This window comes from Homo sapiens, chromosome 4 (assembly GCF_000001405.40).
Source record: "Homo sapiens chromosome 4, GRCh38.p14 Primary Assembly".
Classification (NCBI taxonomy): domain Eukaryota; kingdom Metazoa; phylum Chordata; class Mammalia; order Primates; family Hominidae; genus Homo; species Homo sapiens.
Window position 1 is genome coordinate 56,677,398 of NC_000004.12, and position 18,920 is coordinate 56,696,317.

Below are 18,920 nucleotides of genomic sequence, written 5' to 3' on the forward strand. Positions count from 1 at the left end.
GCCCCACTTAAAAATTCAAATGGTAACTATATATAACATTTCAAGGAACTCCTAGATATGTTATCTTGCTGGAACCTACTTACTATACCAGGGAGTGACATAATTCATTAAACGATTATTGTCTATTAACATCCTAATTTTAATTAGTTTTCCAGAGATGGAGAAAACAAGCCCTGAGAGAATAAGACCTGGAAAGTGGCACATTTGGATTGAAGGGGAGGTAAAAACCAATTGGAAACATGGCCAGGGTGGAGCCGGTGAGGCTCTGTGGTCCCACAGACACCTCTGAACTGACACCTGCACCCATACAGGTGCTGAGGGAGAGCTAAGGAGCCACAGACAGGAAGGACAGAAGTCACAACGACAAACTTCACCCACTCATGCTTTTGCCTGGGCCTGACCTGGAAGTCCTAATTAAAAGACCCTGGACTGCCAGATAGACTCATCCCAGTGCTGGGAATGCACACATGCTATTTCTTGAAAGAACAACTTGGCTGTCCCCCAGAACAGAGTGCCCAGTGTGTACACTGGGATTCCTTTCAATAATTAGAATCCTCTACTTATGCCAGATATTAATCGGGAAAAAAAGGAAGCTTTAGTTTTGAAACATCCCTTCTCACTCATTAGCACAATCCTTTAATAATGCACCTTGGAGGCCCTGAGTAATTCTTCTAGTTTGCTGCCCCGCAGCATGTCTGGGTTCCAAGGATTCGCTTGGAAGGTGCTGGATACCCTATCCTCGCTGGAGCTGGGAGTGTCCAGAAGCAGCCTCTTTCTTTACCTTTGAGCCTCTGTTGCTGTGTTCCCTGAGCCTCCCAAGCCTCATCCTACTCTCGGACTTGGTGGTCAGGTGGCATGGGGCCATCCCCATCCTCTCTTTGGCCCTTACTGTCCTTATCTGTCAAGTGAATGGTTTTGATTTCACTGGTTTTCATCCCTAGCTGCACATTAGACTCACCTGGGGAACTTTAAAAACCAATCCCAGGGCTGCACACCTGGGGATTCTGATTTAATTGGTCCAGGGTGGGGCCTAGTCACTGATTTTTTTTTTTTTTTTTTTTTTTTTGAGACGGAGTCTTGCTCTGCCACCCAGGCAGGAGTGCAGTGGCACGATCTCCGCTCACTGCAACCTCTGCCTCCCAGATTCAAGCGATTTTCCTGCCTCAGCCTCCCAAGTAGCTGGGATTACAGGCGCTCACCACAATGCCCAGAATAATTTTTGTATTTTAGTAAAGATGAGGTTTCACCATGTTGGTCAAGCTGGTCTCGAACTCCTGACCTTAGGTGATCCACCCGCCTCAGCCTCTCAAAGTGCTGGGGTTACAGGCATGAGCCACCATGCCCTGCCCCAGTCACTGATTTTTTTTTTCTTTTTTAAGTTCTCCAGGCCCCACAACCACTAGGTTAGATTATCTCCAGGGACCCTCCCAGTTCTATAAAAGTCTATGATCCTTACTGTCTGGTCTCTGTGCTTTACTGAATTTATTTTTTTCTCCATAAATACTCATCTTTTATGTTCAGCATGTTACATAGGCTGATTTTTAGAAATGCTTTTACTTATTTAAAAATTATATTGTTGGTTAGGCACAGTGGCTCACACCTGTAATCCCAGCACTTTGGGAGGCCAAGGCAGGCAGATCGCTTGAGCTCAGGAGTTTGGGACTAGCCTGGGCAACATAGCAAAACCCCATCTCTACAGCTGGGTGTGGTGGCACAAGTCTGTGTTCCCAGCTACTTGGGAGGCTGAGGTGGGAGGATTGCTTGAGCCTGGGAGGCAGAGGCTGCAGTGAGCCGAGATCGTGCTACTGCACTCCAGCCTGGGTGACAGAGTGAGATCCTATCTCAAAAAAATAAAAATAAAAATAATGTGGTTAAAGTATTGTTTGTTGGGAGTAATCAGCTATAATACTGAATGTTTAAAGTACACAATTTGATAAATCTTCCCATATAAGAAATGGTCACAGTCACAATAATGAACATATCCATCACCCTCAAAAGTTTCCTGTGTACCTTGGGAGTCCCCCCAAACATTTTTTCTCCTGCCCCTACCTTCCCAAGTAACCATGGATCTTCTTTCTTTCTTTTTTTTTTTTTTCTTAAGACAGAATCTTGCTCTGTCGCCCAGGCTGGAGCGCAGTGGTACAATCTCAGCTCACTGCAACCTCCGCCTCCCGGGTTCAAGCAATTATCCTGTCTCAGCCTCCCGAGTAGCTGGGATTACAGGTGCCCACCACCAAGCCCGCCTAATTTTTGTATTTTTAGTAGAGACGGGGTTTCACTATATTGGCCAGGCTGGTCTCAAACTCCTGACCTCAAGTGATCCGCTCACCTCGGCCTCCCAAAGTGCTGGGATTACAGGCGTGGGCCACCGCACCCAGCCACTTTCTTTTTGCTATAGATTAGTTTGCATTTTCTATCATTTTATACAAATGTAATCACTCAACACATCCTATTTTGTGCATGGACATAACATCTAATTATCTCCCTGGACTTTAGATTTCAAGCTCTTTGAGAACAAGATCCATTTTTTCTTTTCTCTTCCTCTTGGCCTTCAACTTATCTTTTCTCAGATATAGCCCTTAATCATTATTTGCTTGATTGACATAAGACCTTCATGAACTTAAAACCAAGCTTCAGTTTGGTGGCTAAGAAGTGCCTGCCACGTTGAAGGTTTTTAACTCGCCACCACTTCTGGAGAGGTTCCTCAGTCGGCAGCTTCAGCCCAGTTAAAAAAAAATAATAATAAGCATATGAGCTTCATTTAGGTCCGTGGACTTCTAGGAGTCCAGAAAGTGAGAGTCAAGGTGTGGGTTGGGGTGTGGGGTGGAAGGGGAGGCTCAGGAAGCGAGGAATGAATACCTGAGAAAGGTCCTTGGCTTTCACCAGATTCTTGATACAAAGGGATAGACTATGGAATTAATGCCCTGCTCTATTCCTATCTGCTTTTCATGAATCTGTTGTTTAATTATAAATCCTTTACTATCTGCTCCTCCCTTCTCCTCCCTTCCCACCTCCCCAGCACCTTCGTTTTGTTCTCTGCCTGCCCTGGTTATACTTAACCTTACTTAACTAAACACACTACAGGGCCCTGTCCAGTAGCAGTGCCACTTCATGGGAACTGTTTGCATTCCTTTTCTCTTTAAGAGCTTCTTATCTGAACTATGTGATAGATTGTACCTTTTTATTCAATGATTCTTATTCCACTTTACTTAACAGTTTACCCTGAATACTTGGATGCCACTCACATATCACAAACCTATACTTTCTCTAAACCCCAGAGCCTGGGATTCCTTTTCATCTCAAAAAAAAAAAATCACTGTTTTTGTTGTTATAAATAAGTATTATGAGAACCAGAAGTAACAATAAACTGCAAATTCAAAATCAAGCCACTTCTCCATCCAGAGACAGCTCCCTCACTTCCCCTTGTCAAACACAAAACATATTTTAAAACGATATTATGTCTGATTTTAGATAAAAGTCTGGGATGTAGAATAACAATAATCTGCTTCTAAATGAGAAAATCATAGGCATCTGACAAATGCTGGTTTCAAAGTTATCTTTCCAAAATAGAAGCGAGTAAGAAAAACATCTCACCTGCTTGGCCAAAAGACCAACACCAACTCCCCTTCCTCCAAATTCCCCTCGACCCCATGCAGTTTTGTTTGTAAGGGACTGATGTCTTACACCCAGCAGCATTTCCTAGCTTCTGCTTGGGGGTAAGCTTGTCATTCCTATTCTCCCTTTCACCTCTACCGTTTTCCAACAGATGAGCAAATACGGTAACGATAGCATTTTGGTCTAGTTCCTGCACAAACTCATTCCTCTGCATAAAAGGCAGACCTTTGAAAGGTACTTACGTGGAAGAGGCAAAGGCAAGCGCAAGCCCTGGGTTTGGAAGCTGTGTTTGCTGATGCCAGCCTGCTTAAATAGCTGGGCTGGCTGACGCAGGCTGCTGATAGCACGTTTATTTACGCCTATGAGCACACACTCGAGCAAGGACCTGAAAAACCTGCAGCGTGGGCAGGAGGTAAACCACTGAAAGTATGCCGAGGTTACGTCTCTCCTGGTTATTCAGGTTTGATGTTCAGGCTGGGACTTCTGAGAGTCTCATGGAACTTTCTCGTCACTATCTTCTCGTCCCTGACCTCTCTCCTAGCCAAGCAAGCTTCTTCACCAAGATAGGATAAGAGAGATGTGGCTGAGAGAAGACGGGGAAGAGAAAAGGGACCCTGAGTCTTCTCATCCACTTCCTTACTTTGAGCGAGTTTCCAGTTAGATGTTGCCTCATTTCAAAGCGTAGATCTGGTGCGGTTGATTTCACAGCTCTGAGAGCTGGATGCCAAGCTAAGAGCCTGGACAATTGCCCAATTAATGAAAGGTTGTTTTCTTTTGGGCACAGAATGTACACATAAAGAACAGTTAAAAGGGAGAGATTCGGGCTAGGATGATACAGTTTTAGGTCTCCCTCAAAAACGATTCTCATTTATTTCCCCTGCATCTGTACTTTCCTCTTACCATCCCCTCCCCTTCGTTAATGAAATTCCTGTCTAAGAGGTGAAAGATTCCCCATGGGCTTGCGAATAAAAAGCCAGTGTGTGAGCAAGTCTGTGGGAAGATGCATGCAGAGTGTGACAGAGAGTTTAGGGGCTCGTGTGACAATCCGTGGAAATGTTTCTAAAGGCGAGGGTATGTGTGTGGGTGTGAGGACCCGGCTGTTGGATGTTTACGTATTTTATTAGCTAGATACGGGAGCTAATACTCAATTGCAGTGCACTAAACATTATTAGGTGGGTATGATTTTGAGGGAATGAGGGAAGGGAGACAAGGTCTGGTGAGATCATCTGTGGGATTATCTGTGTGTATTTGCTGGTTTGTAGCACAAACCGGTAAGTGCCATCCAGAGAGCCACACCCTATATTATTCACTTCAGCAGAGAAAGAGAAAGCCCACTTGAGTCTCTTGGGAACAGTAGCCATATGTGAAAGAAGAGCAGCGCTCATTCAGAATACCTCTTTCCCTCTTGGAAAAGGGGGTGACGGTTATAAAACATGTGTGGGAAAGAGTAGAGACAGGGGGCCCAGGTTAACCCAACCTTGGTTACCAGAGGAATTCTTTTGTTTCCTGCCTAATTCAATGCCTAACTTCTGACCATTCTATGGCCAAATCTGGATTCTTGCTGCCACGATTTTTTGAATGGGCAGGGTCTATGTCTTGTTTATCATTTGATACCCACAGCATTATTATTATTATTGTTGTTGCACAAATTATTACTATGACAGCACAAATTATTATGATGATGACAATGGTGATGATCCATAATCTAGTAAGACTGACTGTGTGTCAGGCTCCATGTAAGGACTGTACAGAGAGTTTGTCTGCTTATTTAATATGTAATACAATAACCCTATGAGGTTGTATTGTTTTTTGTTTTTCACTCAGGCTGGAGTGCAGTGACACGATCTTGGCTCACTGCAGCCTTGACCTCCCGGGCTGAGGTGATTCTCCCACCTCAGCCTCCCAAGTAGCTGGGACCACAGGCACACACCACCAGAAGTGGCTAATTTTTTGTAAAGACAGTATTACACCATGTTGCCCAGGCTGGTCTCAAACTCCTGGGCTCAAGGGATCCTCCTGCCTCAGCCTCCCAAAGTGCTGGGATTACAGCCGTGAGCCACCATGCCCGGCTGAGTTAGTTTTTTTTATTATCGTTATTTTACAGAAGAGGAAACTGATACTCAGAAAGACTAAATAACTTTCCCAAGGTCACAGTGAATGGTGGGGGTGGAATTTGAATCCAGTTCTATCTGATTCCAGAGTCAGGGTTTCACTCAGGACTGGCTTGAACCAATACTTAGAAAGTTGCCTAAGAGTGTTTTCACCTATCCTTAATTGTGTTTTTGTTTATCATCTGTCTTCCAGAATGTGATTTCCATGACAACAATGACCTTTCTGCATTGTTTACTCCTGTGATCCAGAACAGTGCCTGGCACTTGGTAGGTGCTCAATAAATATGTGCCATCTGTTCAGTTTCTAAATTCCCGTGGAGGCAGTACAGCCCAACAGATAGAGGTCCTGGCATCAACAGAGTCTCATCCTGGTTCAGATGAGACATTTCTTTTTCTCTTGCATAATGTGTCAACTTCAAGCTGTTTCTCTTTATCCGGTGTATCATGGAGATTAAAGAAAAAGTGATTGAAACCATGAAGCAGTTTTTACATCACTTGACTCTGCAGGTAGCAGGTATATGGTTCCGGTTGATTGGGGGTGCAGTGATGAAACCAAGACCTCTAGCTTTTTCCATCTTTCATTTTGTAGCTCTCAGTGTGACAGCATTGTCTCTCCTCATGGTGGTAAGATGGCTACAGTAGCTCCATTCATCATATCTTTAAACAAAATATCCAAAGACAGGTAAAAAGTGTCCCAGGCTTTCTTTCTCCTAAGTGTCTTTCCTTGTTAGAGAGGAAAACCTTTTCAGAAATCACTAGGAGTCTTTCACTTATGTCTCCTTGCTGAGCACTGGGTTGTGTCAGCCAACACATTGGCTAAATCCATCATTTTCAAAGAGGAAAGGGATCAGGCTGATCATGGTTCCTCTCCTGGGTCTAAGGGAAGAATCCACCTTCTCCAGACAAATTGCTCTGATCATCTGAACAAAATCAAGATTCATTTATTAGTGAAGAAGCAGAAATGTGCTACCCACAGTTTTGCCAATCTAAGAGATCCTTTAAAATACAATAACCTAAACTTCTTTCATGCTTGGGCACCAGTCCAGCCATGGCAATTGGGTTTTACTATATCAGTTCTCTCTTTCTATGCTTTTTTTTTTTTTTTTCCCAGTGAGATAAGTTTGCTTTGGCTCTCAGTAAAATTAAGAGTATTTCAACAGCCTGCAAATAAGGGAGGTAGCTGGCCACTAATTTTTTTCCTGCAGGTTTAGATCCTAGGTCTTTATATCACCACCGATTTCCAGGGACTATCACACAATCTGTCAGCCTCTTGTCTTCTCCTGTGCCAGATGGGATTGGATGATGCTGTTGATTTCTTAGAGAAGTTGGGTCCAATAACACAACTAATTATAAAAACATGACTCATTTTCCTGCTCCTCCTGTTGTCTATTATATTTCAGTGGAATTCCAGGATCCCACATGTTTGCCTCTGCCTCTGCCTGAGAGCTCCAGCTAGTGCCTGGGTTATGTAAACTAGAGACATATGGCTGAGATGGTAATTCTCACATAGTTCTTTTTCCCCTGGTGATTAACAAACTTCAAATTACCACCCACAGTAAGTGTTATTTTTCTTCTATTTGCTGTTCTAAACCTTTTCCTTGCCACAGGTTTTGGGAACTCTTTTCTTCAATGGCTCAAATCAAGAGAATTAGGAGGAAGAATGGGGTCGTGGGATGTTCCTCCGCAAGAGAGGAACAATGCCTGGGGGAGGAAAGGGCTTCAGTAAGTGTTTACTGTGACTGGACAAATGGTGGAAAGGAAAGAGTGTGGGCTTCTCAATCCTGCAGACTTGCATGAGGTCCCACTACTTCTGCTTACCACCAATTTGATCAAGGGTAACTTATATAACTTCTCTCTGTTTCCTCATCTGTAATATGGGACTGATGAGAATTATCTCACAAGTTCGTTGTAAGGACTAAAGATATGTAAAGCACTTACATAATACCCAGAACATAGTAGGCGCTCCATAAATGGGTAGCTACTGCTAATAGTTACAAGAAGAAGCTGGATTTTCCTATCCTTGGTCATCTTTGTGGAACCCACACAAAATATGAATAGGGAGCATGCGGACCTGAGAAATTATGCAAAGAGAGAAAAGCCATTTCTTGGGGAACACAAAACTACCAAGGACATTTCAGTAAATTCACAGTGAAGATTCTAAGCCTCCCAAGGGCCCAAATCTGACCTATACAGAAACAAATGAGGAAGAGGGTAGCCAGAGGATAGAGGCGAGCTTGCTGAGAATTCTGCCCCCAAGGTGTGAACTTGCAAGCAGAGAGGCCGAGAATTTTGCAGATGCTGTGGCAGTTCGAACTCCCAGAGAGCCCTTCCTGGCCCAACCTGGCTGGCACGTAGAACAGTGTGGGAAGCAGAAGAGGATCAGCCAATGGCAGAGAACCTGGACAAAGAAAAGGATGCCAACCGACTGAGGATAGAGACATTTCCCTTGGCTCCTCCTGGCAAAGGACTTCTCAGGTTTCCTGCTGAGAAGGGAGTGGAAGCTATGACATAATCACACTCTGTATTCTTTGTAGTTTGTTGTAGGCATGGTAATTATTAAGTCATCCTTTCGGTTCACTGTATATACTAGATTCTTTTTTTGAGACAGAGACTCGCTCTGTCACCCAGGCTGGAGTGCAGTGGTGCGATCTGGGCTCACTGCAACCTCCACCAGCATGTCCAGCTAAAATAGTTTTCTATATATATATACATATATATATACACACACACTCACACACACATATATGTTATATATAATGTATTATATATAATGTATTATATTGTATTATATATAATGTATTATAATGTATTATATATAATGTATTATATATTATATGATGTATTATATATTATATAATATATTATTTGTATTATATATTATATAATATATTATTTGTATTATATATTATATCAATATATTATATATTACTATATATTAATGTTAATATATATTAATATTAATATATTAATATATAATATAATAATATAATATATAATATATAATATAATATATAACATATAATATAATATATAATATAATATATATATAGTATTTTTAATGGGAACAAGGTTTCATTATGTTGGTCAGGCTGGCCTTGAACCCCTGGCCTTAAATGATCCGCCCCCCTTGGCCTCCCAAAGTGCTGGGATTACAGGCATGAGCCACTGCACCTGGCCTACTGTATATACTAGATTCTAGGTGTGGATTCTACCATCTTTCTAATTCATTTGTGGTCCTATGGAGTGTTAGGTGAGTTGATGACCGCGAGTTAGATGTTGCATCCCATCAACAGCGTCTGTGCCTGGGTAGGGTTGTCACATCTGGTGTGGCCCCTGTTGCGTTTGTTCTTCTACTTAAGAAACACAGTTTCTTCTCATTCCATTTAGATTCATCCAGGGTTTAATGAATGAGGAGGCCTCAAGTATGGTTTTCCTTCCTGATCCCCTTCCTGTGATTGGCTAGAGAAGGGGATGGCCCTTGGCAATTGTGAGGCGGGGGGCGGGCAGGCATCACTCATCTGTGGAAGGAGTTGGGGAGGAGGCCTCTTTCTTCACTCATGAATGAATGCTTCACTTCACTGCTGTCAGGTGGGGCTGCCTGAGAAGCAGTGTGGTGACATTCTCAGGAGGGGTGGGGGTGGTGCCTCACCTAAGAGGTGGCCTCTTCCATGACTGATAGAAAGATGTTGCAGACTGGGGCCACCTGGCCTGATTGTAATCCCCTAACACATAGGGTGAGGACAGAGTCCTCACACCCACTACTGAAATTTCAGGGATGGGCCCTGTGCTAGTAGAAAGCAGGGGGTGGGGAGCTGGGGACAAGAAAAACAAAATCATTTGGTTAAAAAGCTTGCTTGACTGGGCACCAAACCCAGGCACTCTGGTTTCACAGTCCATGGTCTAATCACTGCACTGCATGGCCTTTGTAGCTACTTCTGACAGTGTCACAGGAGCCCTAGGTAGGAAGGAAGAGTAGGTACCACCTCCTCTGCACGGGGTGCCCCCAACCCCAAGTACTGTTTATTTAAGACACTGACTTTTGTGAATGATTTTACTTGGATACAGAGAGGGGAAGGAAAGGAGGACTGAGCTAACAAAAATATAGTTTGAAGACAAAACAAAAGAAAACAAAAACCTGTGTGCCTGACATGACGCAGTGGAGAAAGAAAGGGCTGAAAATTATTTGGGCTAACATCATGGAGAAGCTGAAGGAAGAGAAAGAGTTTTGATTCAAGTCTAGACTCTTTTCTTCCTCCCTCCTCTACTGCAGAGCACCAAGGAAGACTCACAAGGCTCATGGGTGACCTAGAAAATCTCACCTCTCCTCTCCATGTCTCAGGCCCTCATCTGTATAAGGAAAAAGTTGAGCCAGTTGATGAACCAGAGGTGATGTCTCTGAGATCCATTCGGTTTTAATCTCTTGTCCTCCAAGGGGAGAGGGTCAGGGGCAGGTGAATGTGGAGGAGGGCCTCGGAGCAGCCACATGAGCAGGACAGCTGCTCCCATTCAGGGCTGAGAAAGCCTAATGCATGAGTGCAGCTTTCCCAACTGTTTGTTCCAACATTGAAACACTACTTCCACCCCCATGCCTCCCTCCCAGTTCTCTCCCCAACCACCTGGCCTTCCCCAGACCTTTTAGGGTCCAGGAACTAGAGGGCAATACCTGCCACAGTGTGTGTGTGGGCAACCAGGATCTGCTCCAGCCACAACCCTCTCAACAGTGTTTGCTCAGTGCCTGCCTTTTCACTGCAGACCAGGGAGACATCCTGAAAGAGAGAACTGGAGTGGGCTAGTAAAGAAGGAAGGAAGGAAGGAAGGGAGGGAGGGAGGTGGATAGAGAGGGAGGGAGGTGGAGAGGAAGGAAGGAAGGAAAGAAGGAAGGAGGGAGGGAGGGAGGGAAGGAGGGAGGGGGAAGAGGAAAGAAGGAAGAAAGGAAGGAAGGAGGGAAGGAAGGAAGGGAGGGAGGATGAGGAGAAGAAGGAAGGAAGGAAGGAAAAAAGGAGGGAGGGAGGAAGGAAGGGAAGGAGGGAGGGGGAAGAGGAAGGAAGGGAGGGAGGGAGAGAGGGAGGGAGGTGGAGAGGAAAGAAGGAAGGAAGGAGGGAGGGAGGGAGAGAAGGAGGGAGGAAGGGAAGGAGAGAGGGGGAAGAGGAAGGAAGGAAGAAAGGAAGGAAGGAGGGAAGGAAGGAAGGAAGGAGGGAAGGGGAAGGGAGGGAAGAAGGGAGAGAGGGAGGGAGGGAAGGAGGGAGAGAGGGAAGGAGAGAAGGAACTATAAATCATCCTTGAAAAATGTCTAAAGATTTTGATTTCTGCTTTTGGCAAAAATATGCTGTCATCAGCTTTTGTTAACCAATTCAGTGAAATTCTTCTCTATGTATTTCAGGAAAGCCCTGCCTCCTTCGTGGCCCATCTCTGAGGTTTCTGCAACCAGGCAAGCCCTGGCAGTTCTGTGGGTGATAATTTAGGGTCCCTTGTAGAATGTCTTCTGATGTGGCACATTATATAAATGGTTGTGCACACGCTTGCATCTGGCTTTCACCTCTCTAGAGAGTCATCTCCCAAACTAGTCTTTCTAGTGGGCTCTGAATAACCTGCAAGAGGGTCTTGGGTTGATCCTGTGAGGCTGACACCCCTGACTTTGTTCTCTGACAGAGGGAAATGGCCCCATCTGTGCCAGAGCCAAATCTCAGACTGAAGACAACTTAGTATGGTGTCAGGGTTCAGAGGAAAAGGCTTTGGGGACAAGCTGGACCTGGTTCAAACCTAGGGTGATCAACTTTCTTAGTTGTCCCGTAACTGTCCTCACTTTGGCACTGCAAATCCTAAATCCCAGAAAATCCCTAAGTCCTGGGTAAACCCAAATGCTTGGTCACCCTATTCTAGCTCTTTCAGGCCTTAGCCAGTCATTTCCCTTCTTTGAGCCTTAGTTTCCTCATATGTGAAATGAGGGGAATGATAACAACATCAAATGGTATTTGAAGACTAGGGTCAATATGCATTCAAAAATTGTTCATCAAGAAAGTTAGAAGTTTAGGTGACAAAATGGTCTTTCTGTTTCTGTTCTGAGAAGGAGTAGATGTCTCCTCTCCCCAGTGTGTTTTGACTGTTTCAAGTGGAGGTGTGAGGACAGCACTTGAGGATTCTGGAACACTCTTCAGGAAGCCTTGCAGGCCCTGGCAATTGATGAGCATGAATTAAGGGCTCTCCCAGCTCTATGATTATGTGGTTAAGTGTAAATGGCAGAAGCAGCTGCCTGCTTGCAGAAGTCACTTTTAGCAGCTACCACTTGCAAATCACAAATAAGAGATTATGAAATCTTTTCTTTTAGGCTTCTTTGTTGCCCCTTGGCTATTGTCTGCAGAGATTCTTAACTAATAGCCATGTTCAGAATGACTGTTTGCCAGAAACCACTGTTTCATGGCTGAAAAATGAAAAGAAGTTAATGTTTTCTAAGGACTCCATTGCAAGGCAGTTGCAGGGTGAGAGTGGATTTCACAGGCATCTTAATTCCTGGCAGTAATGGCTGAGGGCTGTCTTGGAGACCAGAAGTGGCAGGCAAGAACTCCCTTAACAAAAGAGAGGCAGGGGGATTATTTATTCAAATGCCCTGATAGAAGAAGGCCTAATCAAAGACACCATAGAAAACAAGCCACAGGCAGATAGGGAATATTTGGAACATGAGAGTGTCAAAAGGATCCAGGCTTTTGCTAAAGGAAAGGAAATGACTAGGGGAAATGGCCTTTTTATAATTGAGCGGAGCTATGTCAGAGCTATGCGCCAAGGGTTGGGGATTATTCAAAGTGCAAACACCTTTATTATCCTGGTCCTCCCACCCCCATCACAAATGAAGTAAGAATCATTAGAATCAGTGCCAGATTCTGACTGAAAATAGAGGTCTTCAGAAGTTGGCAAATTCAACATGCAAGACTGGCACAAGTGATAATGAACTTGTTCTTGGCCACGGCAGTTGATGACACAATTTTGCATAATTAGAACACCTTTGGAAGTAGGGCGTAAAAAAGGACCCTCCAATCTGGAATTGACTGATTTACATAAACATTAGTGTGATTAGTGGTTTCAACTCTTAAGGTACTTCTTGTCATTCACATTCTAATTGATAATAAATAGGGCAGAATGCCAAGGGGAGCAACACTCACGGTGCTTAGTGCCATAGAAAATTGCCCACGAGTCCGTGGGGAAGTCTGCAAAGTAGGTGTTTCTAGGTTACCAAAGTCATCTTATTTTCTTGTGCTTTCCATCCTTTCCTAGAGAAAATTAAATTCTAGAACAGTTAATTTTAAAGTCAAGAAATTTCATTATCAGAATAATGCATTAAGGTGTGTCTGCTATCTATTGCTGCCTAATAAATCACCCAAAAACATAGTGACTTAACAACAGTCATTTTTAACCTCTCCCAGTTTCTGTGGGTCAGGCATTCAGAGAGGGCTCAGTGGGGAGATTCTGGAGTCCCCCAAGTGGTTGTCAGAAGAAAGGCTGGAGCCAGAACAGCAGAGGAGCTGAAGAAGCTGCAGTCTTGCTAGGCACCTCTGTCTTCGGAGGTGGTCTCTCCATGTGGTCTCTCTATAAGAGCTAGTTTGAGCCTCTTCACTATATGGCAGCCTCAGAGTAGTGAAATGCTCCAGTGCAAGTATTTCAGCTCCCAACACAGCAGCTGCATCAACTTTCGTGACCTGGCCTCAGAAGTTTCTGTTGGTTACAAGGGAGTTACAAGCCCACTTAGATTCAAGAGAAGGGGAATTTGATATGACTTCTTAATAGAGAATGGTGATATTCTAGAGGGGCAATGTGGGGTAAGAGATATCACTGTGGCCATCTCTTGAAAATACAATATGCCATCAGGTGTAAATAATTGATGATCATAATATTTTAAGGAAATATTTATATTTTAAGAAAATAATATATTAACCCAAGCAAATCTTTAAACTAGTAGAATAGGTATTGAAGAACCAATCAACTGCCTTCAATCCCTTCTTCTCATTACCTATTTTTTTTTTTTTTTTTGAGATAGAGTTTTGCTCTTGTTGCCCAGGCTGGAGTGCAATGATAGTGATCTTGGCTCATCACAACCTCCGCCTCCCAGGTTCAAGCGATTCTCCTGCCTCAGACTCCCGAGTAGCTGGGATTGCAGGCATGTGTCACCACACCTGGATAATTTTGTATTTTTAGTGGAGATGGGGTTTCTCCATGTTGCTCAGGCTGGTCTCGAACTCCCGACCTCAAATGATCTGCCTGCCTCAGCCTCCCAAAGTGCTGGGATTACAGGCGTGAGCCACTGTGCTTGGCCACCTGTGATTCTTTAGACTAGAACAACTGGATGTAATATAAGTCTCCTAGGGCTGCCATAACAAAGTACCACAGACCGAGAGACTTAAGCAATAGAAATGTATTGTCCCACAGCTCTGGAGGCTTGAAGTCTGAGATCAAGGTGCTGTCAGGTTTGCTTCTTTCTAGGGCTGTGAGAGAAGCTATGTCTATCCCTTATCTTCTGTGGTTTACTTTTAATCTTTGGCATTCCTTATTCTGTAAAATCATCTCCCTGATCTCTGCCTTCATCTTCCCAGGGTGTACTCTCGGAATGTGTACATCTGTGTCCAAATTTTCCCTTTTTATAAAAACACCAGTCATATCAGATGAGGGGCCCAGCCTAGTTCGGTATAATCTCAACTCAACTAATTACAACTGCAATGGCCCTATTTACAAGTAAGGTCACATTCTGAGGTACTAGGGTTTTAGGACTTCAACATAATGATTTTTAAAGGGACCCAATGTGACCCATATCATACCTCTTATTTTCTGAAGGAAGAAGCTTCTTTTGATATGGTTTCTGGGAGCATGAATTGGAATAGGTAAATTTTCCAATTTTATATCTGTCTTTTCCTTTTCATGACACTCGACATTCTCTCCAGCCTCCTAAATACCTTCTTTATATTTTAAGTAAAGGTTTTCATTAAGATGATTAATGTCATTAGAGTATTTTAGGATTAAATATTCCTTTAATTAAAATGTAATTATCAAATGTTGGCTATGGGGCCTCATCCCTTCCCAAACTTTCCATAGTCCTAGTGCCCCTAGTTAAATAACTTCAGGTTGCCTGGGATTTTTTTTATGACTATCCCCTCGTAACCTGGGATTCACCTATGCAGCAACCTAGTTTAGTAAAGAGGCTTAAAGAGCAATTTATTGACTTTGGGGATTTGAGATTGTTCTGTCTCAATTTATTTCCTTTGAATGTTTATAGAAAAAAAAAAGCACAACCAACTGCTCACTGGGGAAGCCACAAATACTTGGCTTTCCTGCCCTGGCACTTATCTTGTACTTGATGTTTTCAAAATACCAACTAATCATTAAATAGCCAGTTCCCACTACATCTTTATGATACGAGAATTCTTGCCATTTTCAGTAAAGGAAATTGAAGTAGAAAGCACCAAGGTGACCTGCGCAAGGTGACAGAACAAATCAGAAGCAGATCCAGGTGGCTGCATTTTATGAACTAAAAGTTTGTCCTGTGTAAACCCAGAGACAGGCTGTCACAGCCTTATCCCTTTCTCCTCTTCCTGAAAGCCAAACGCCCACTTTTCCCCTTGCTCTGCAGTCCTTGGAGGAGCAGCACACAGGCAAGCATGAGCAGACGCCAAGCACACAAGGACCATGGCCAGCAGATGCCCACTGGGAGCAGGCATGTTGTTAGTGCTTGTAAAGCTCCCTGGAGATCTCAGAAATCTTTTTTTTTTTTTAATTGATCATTCTTGGGTGTTTCTCGCAGAGGGGGATTTGGCAGGGTCATAGGACAATAGTGGAGGGAAGGTCAGCAGATAAACAAGTGAACAAAAGTCTCTGGTTTTCCTAGGCAGAGGACCCTGCAGCCTTCCGCAGTGTTTGTGTCCCTGGGTACTTGAGATTAGGGAGTGGTGATGACTCTTAATGAGCATGCTGCCTTCAAGCATCTGTTTAACAAAGCACATCTTGCACCGCCCTTAATCCATTTAACCCTGAGTGGACACAGCACATGTTTCAGAGAGCACAGGGTTGGGGGTAAGGTCACAGATCAACAGGATCCCAAGGCAGAAGAATTTTTCTTAGTACAGAACAAAATGAAAAGTCTCCCATGTCTACCTCTTTCTACACAGACACGGCAACCATCCGATTTCTCAATCTTTTCCCCACCTTTCCCCCCTTTGTATTCCACAAAACCGCCATTGTCATCATGGCCCGTTCTCAATGAGCTGTTGGGTACACCTCCCAGACGGGGTGGAGGCCGGGCAGAGGGGCTCCTCACTTCCCAGTAGGGGTGGCCGGGCAGAGGCGCCCCTCACCTCCCGGATGGGGCGGCTGGCCGGGCCGGGGGCTGACCCCCCAACCTCCCTCCCGGACGGGTCGGCTGGCCGGGCGGGGGGCTGACCCCCCCACCTCCCTCCCGGACGGGGCGGCTGGCCTGGCAGGGGCTGACCCCCACCTCCCTCCCGGACGGGGTGGCTGCCGGGCGGAGACGCTCCTCACTGCCCAGAAGGGGCGGCTGCCGGGCGGAGGGGCTTCTCACTTCTCAGAGGGGGCGGCTGCCGGGCGGAGGGGCTCCTCACTTCTCAGACGGGGCGGTTGCCGGGCGGAGGGTCTCCTCACTTCTCAGACGGGGCGGCCGGGCAGAGACGCTCCTCACCTCCCAGACGGGGTTGCGGGGCAGAGGCGCTCCCCACATCTCAGACAATGGGCGGCCGGGCAGAGACGCTCCTCACTTCCCAGACGGGGTGGCGGCCAGGCAGAGGCTGCAATCTCGGCACTTTGGGAGGCCAAGGCGGGCGGCTGGGAGGTGGAGGTTGTAGCGAGCTGAGATCACGCCACTGCACTCCAGCCTGGGCACCATTGAGCACTGAGTGAACGAGACTCCGTCTGCAATCCCGGCACCTCAGGAGGCCGAGGCTGGCAGATCACTCGCGGTTAGGAGCTGGAGACCAGCCCCGCCAACACAGCGAAACCCCGTCTCCACCAAAAAAATATGAAAACCAGTCAGGCGTGGCGGCGCGTGCCTGCAATCGCAGGCAGTCAGCAGGCTGAGGCAGGAGAATCAGGCAGGGAGGTTGCAGTGAGCCGAGATGGCAGCAGTACAGTCCAGCTTCGGCTCGGCATCAGAGGGAGACCATGGAAAGAGAGGGAGAGGGAGACCGTGGGGAGAGGGAGAGGGAGAGGGAGAGGGAGGAGAGGGAGAGGGAGGAGAGGGAGAGGGAGATCTCAGAAATCTTAAGGCGAACTTTTGGGACATGAAACCCTGAGTCAGAAGATGGGACTCCAAAGCAATCTCTTTTGTACTACAGGGTGGTAAGATCTGGGAAATTTGGGTCACATGAACAATAATGAAAAAGATGTTGAAGGTATTCCTTCTGGTCCTAAACTGTAATCCTCTTGATCATAGGATCTATTAGAAACAAGCTCCCTGAAATCCTTCGGTCTAGTCTTAAGCCAGGAGGCATTAATAGCAAACTTTAAGGACTTTCCTTAACTCTAGGAAGATGCTACAAGAAAGAATCATAGGCATTAATGTGGCTGCCTCCCCAGAAATGCTGGGAGGCACCAGATCACCTTTCAGTGTTCGCAAAGTTCTCATTTTTTTTCCTCTGGTGAAAAAAGATTGCATATAATTGGCTGGTCCTATACTTGAGTGAGGGGGAATTCAATGGGATGGAAACTATCTTATTTAAGGTGCTCATCCAGACCAGCATTTTACACTTAGGCAGGTCATTGAAACAAAATTCATCCTCAAAATCACATTCTCCTCTCCTGATATCAAGCTTCTCTTTCCCTAATTTTGTCTTTACTCATTTACTTTTTAATTTATTCCTTTTTTTATTTTTTTGAGATGGAGTCGTTCTCTATCGCCCAGGCTAGAGTGCAGCAGTGCAATCTTGGCTCACTGCAACCTCTGCCTCCCAAATTCAAGCGATTCTCCTGCCTCAGCCTCCCGAGTAGCTGGAATTACAGGCGTGCCACCATGTCTGGTTAATTTTTATATGTTTAGCAGAGACGGGGTTTTACCATGTTGGCCAGGCTGGTCTTGAACTCCTGACCTCAAGTGATCCGCCTGCCTCGGCCTCCCAAAGTGCTGGGACTACAGGAGTGAGCCACCATGTCCAGCCTACTCATTTACTTTAAAGCTGGGATTGGTCTTTCACTCAGCAGAGGCATAACTGGTGAGGTGTGTTTTGCTTTGGTAATATGATTCTCATGTGGAGTAAAAGACAAAGTGGACCTCTTTTCGGGCAAGAATATAGTAAGTTGAAGCTTGTCTTTTTCACATCAAAATGCCATCTTGGTCTTGCACCCCTAAATCCTAGGCATAAAGATCGAAGCATTTAGGTTTATTTGCATAGTCAAAACTAAGAAACTCATCCTATTTCTCATTTAATCTTGGCCATTAGGAATCTCAGAGTCAAATTTAGTGCTGAGTTTCACTAGCGTTCTTAGTTTAAGTTTTCAAGCATAAACTGTCTTAGTTCAGGCTGCAATGACAGAATACCATCAACTGAGTGGCATAAGCAATAAACATTTATTTCTCTCAGTTCTGGAAGCTAGAAAGTGTAAGATCAAATTATTAGAATATTTAGTGTGTGGTGAGGGCCATTTCCTGGCTCCTAGAGAGCTATCCTCTTGCTGTGTCTTCATATGGCAGAATGAGGGCTAGAGAACTCTCTGGGTCTCTTTTATGAGGACACTAATCTTATTCATAGCATTCCAACCTTGCAACTGACTTACCTCCCTAATGCCCCATCTCCCACTTCTGTCACTTTGGGGGGTTAGAATCTCAATCTATGAATTTTGCAGGACACAAGCATTTAGCCCATAACAAAAACTTTTACATACACAACTTTTATTATGATCCATATCTTAATGACTTTATTTGTAAGGGTTTTTTTAAACTACAAGCTGCCTTAAGTCTTTTTAAAAAACAATTTAAACATGGTATTAATAATAAAATATATTTTTAAAATCAATATAACATTAAACAATGAGAATGTCCTTAAAAATCAGTTTGTTTTGTCCACAGGTTGATCAGGAAACACTGAAAAATGACAACCAGTTCTGGTATTCACCCAGGGCACACCCATCCTGCCACACTGGAAGTTAAGATATTGAACTTTCTGTATGAGTTGTTTAAAGCTGCTGCCCTAAAGGACATGAACAGACACT

General features: G+C 44.7%; 1 protein-coding gene and 1 long non-coding RNA gene across 11 annotated transcripts in view, besides 2 other annotated features; one reads left to right on the top strand and one right to left on the bottom strand.

The window, feature by feature from the left end:
• Positions 1-4,309, bottom strand: part of HOPX (HOP homeobox) — a 33,709-nt gene extending 29,400 nt beyond the window's left edge. For 8 of the 10 annotated variants that reach the window (NM_139212.4, NM_032495.6, NM_001145460.2 and 5 more), the window contains exon 1: positions 3,858-3,899. Coding sequence is in view for 2 of the 10 variants with exons in the window: in XM_017008729.3 (XP_016864218.2) it covers positions 3,595-3,696 (102 nt within the window). In the remaining 8 variants the exon portion in view is untranslated. Of the gene's footprint in view, positions 1-3,594; positions 3,900-4,255 lie in introns of those variants that run through there. The other 2 variants (XM_017008728.2, XM_017008729.3) reach the window with 2 other exon arrangements.
• Positions 3,897-3,946: a silencer, noted in NCBI's record as "silent region_15453". NCBI's record gives its function as "represses an Ori minimal core promoter by ATAC-STARR-seq in GM12878 lymphoblastoid cells {active_cell/tissue: GM12878}" and the evidence as "EXISTENCE:reporter gene assay evidence [ECO:0000049][PMID:35858748]".
• Positions 5,836-18,859, top strand: LOC105377666 (uncharacterized). The gene is made up of 3 exons (XR_941078.3): positions 5,836-5,993; positions 7,127-7,281; positions 18,778-18,859. It is a non-coding gene; the product is annotated as an uncharacterized LOC105377666 (long non-coding RNA).
• Positions 16,194-17,001: an enhancer, noted in NCBI's record as "H3K27ac hESC enhancer chr4:57559757-57560564 (GRCh37/hg19 assembly coordinates)". NCBI's record gives its function as "activates a minimal SCP1, AML or CMV promoter by ChIP-STARR-seq in primed H9 embryonic stem cells {active_cell/tissue: H9 hESC(primed)}" and the evidence as "EXISTENCE:reporter gene assay evidence [ECO:0000049][PMID:30033119]".
• Positions 18,860-18,920: the final 61 nt, after the last annotated feature.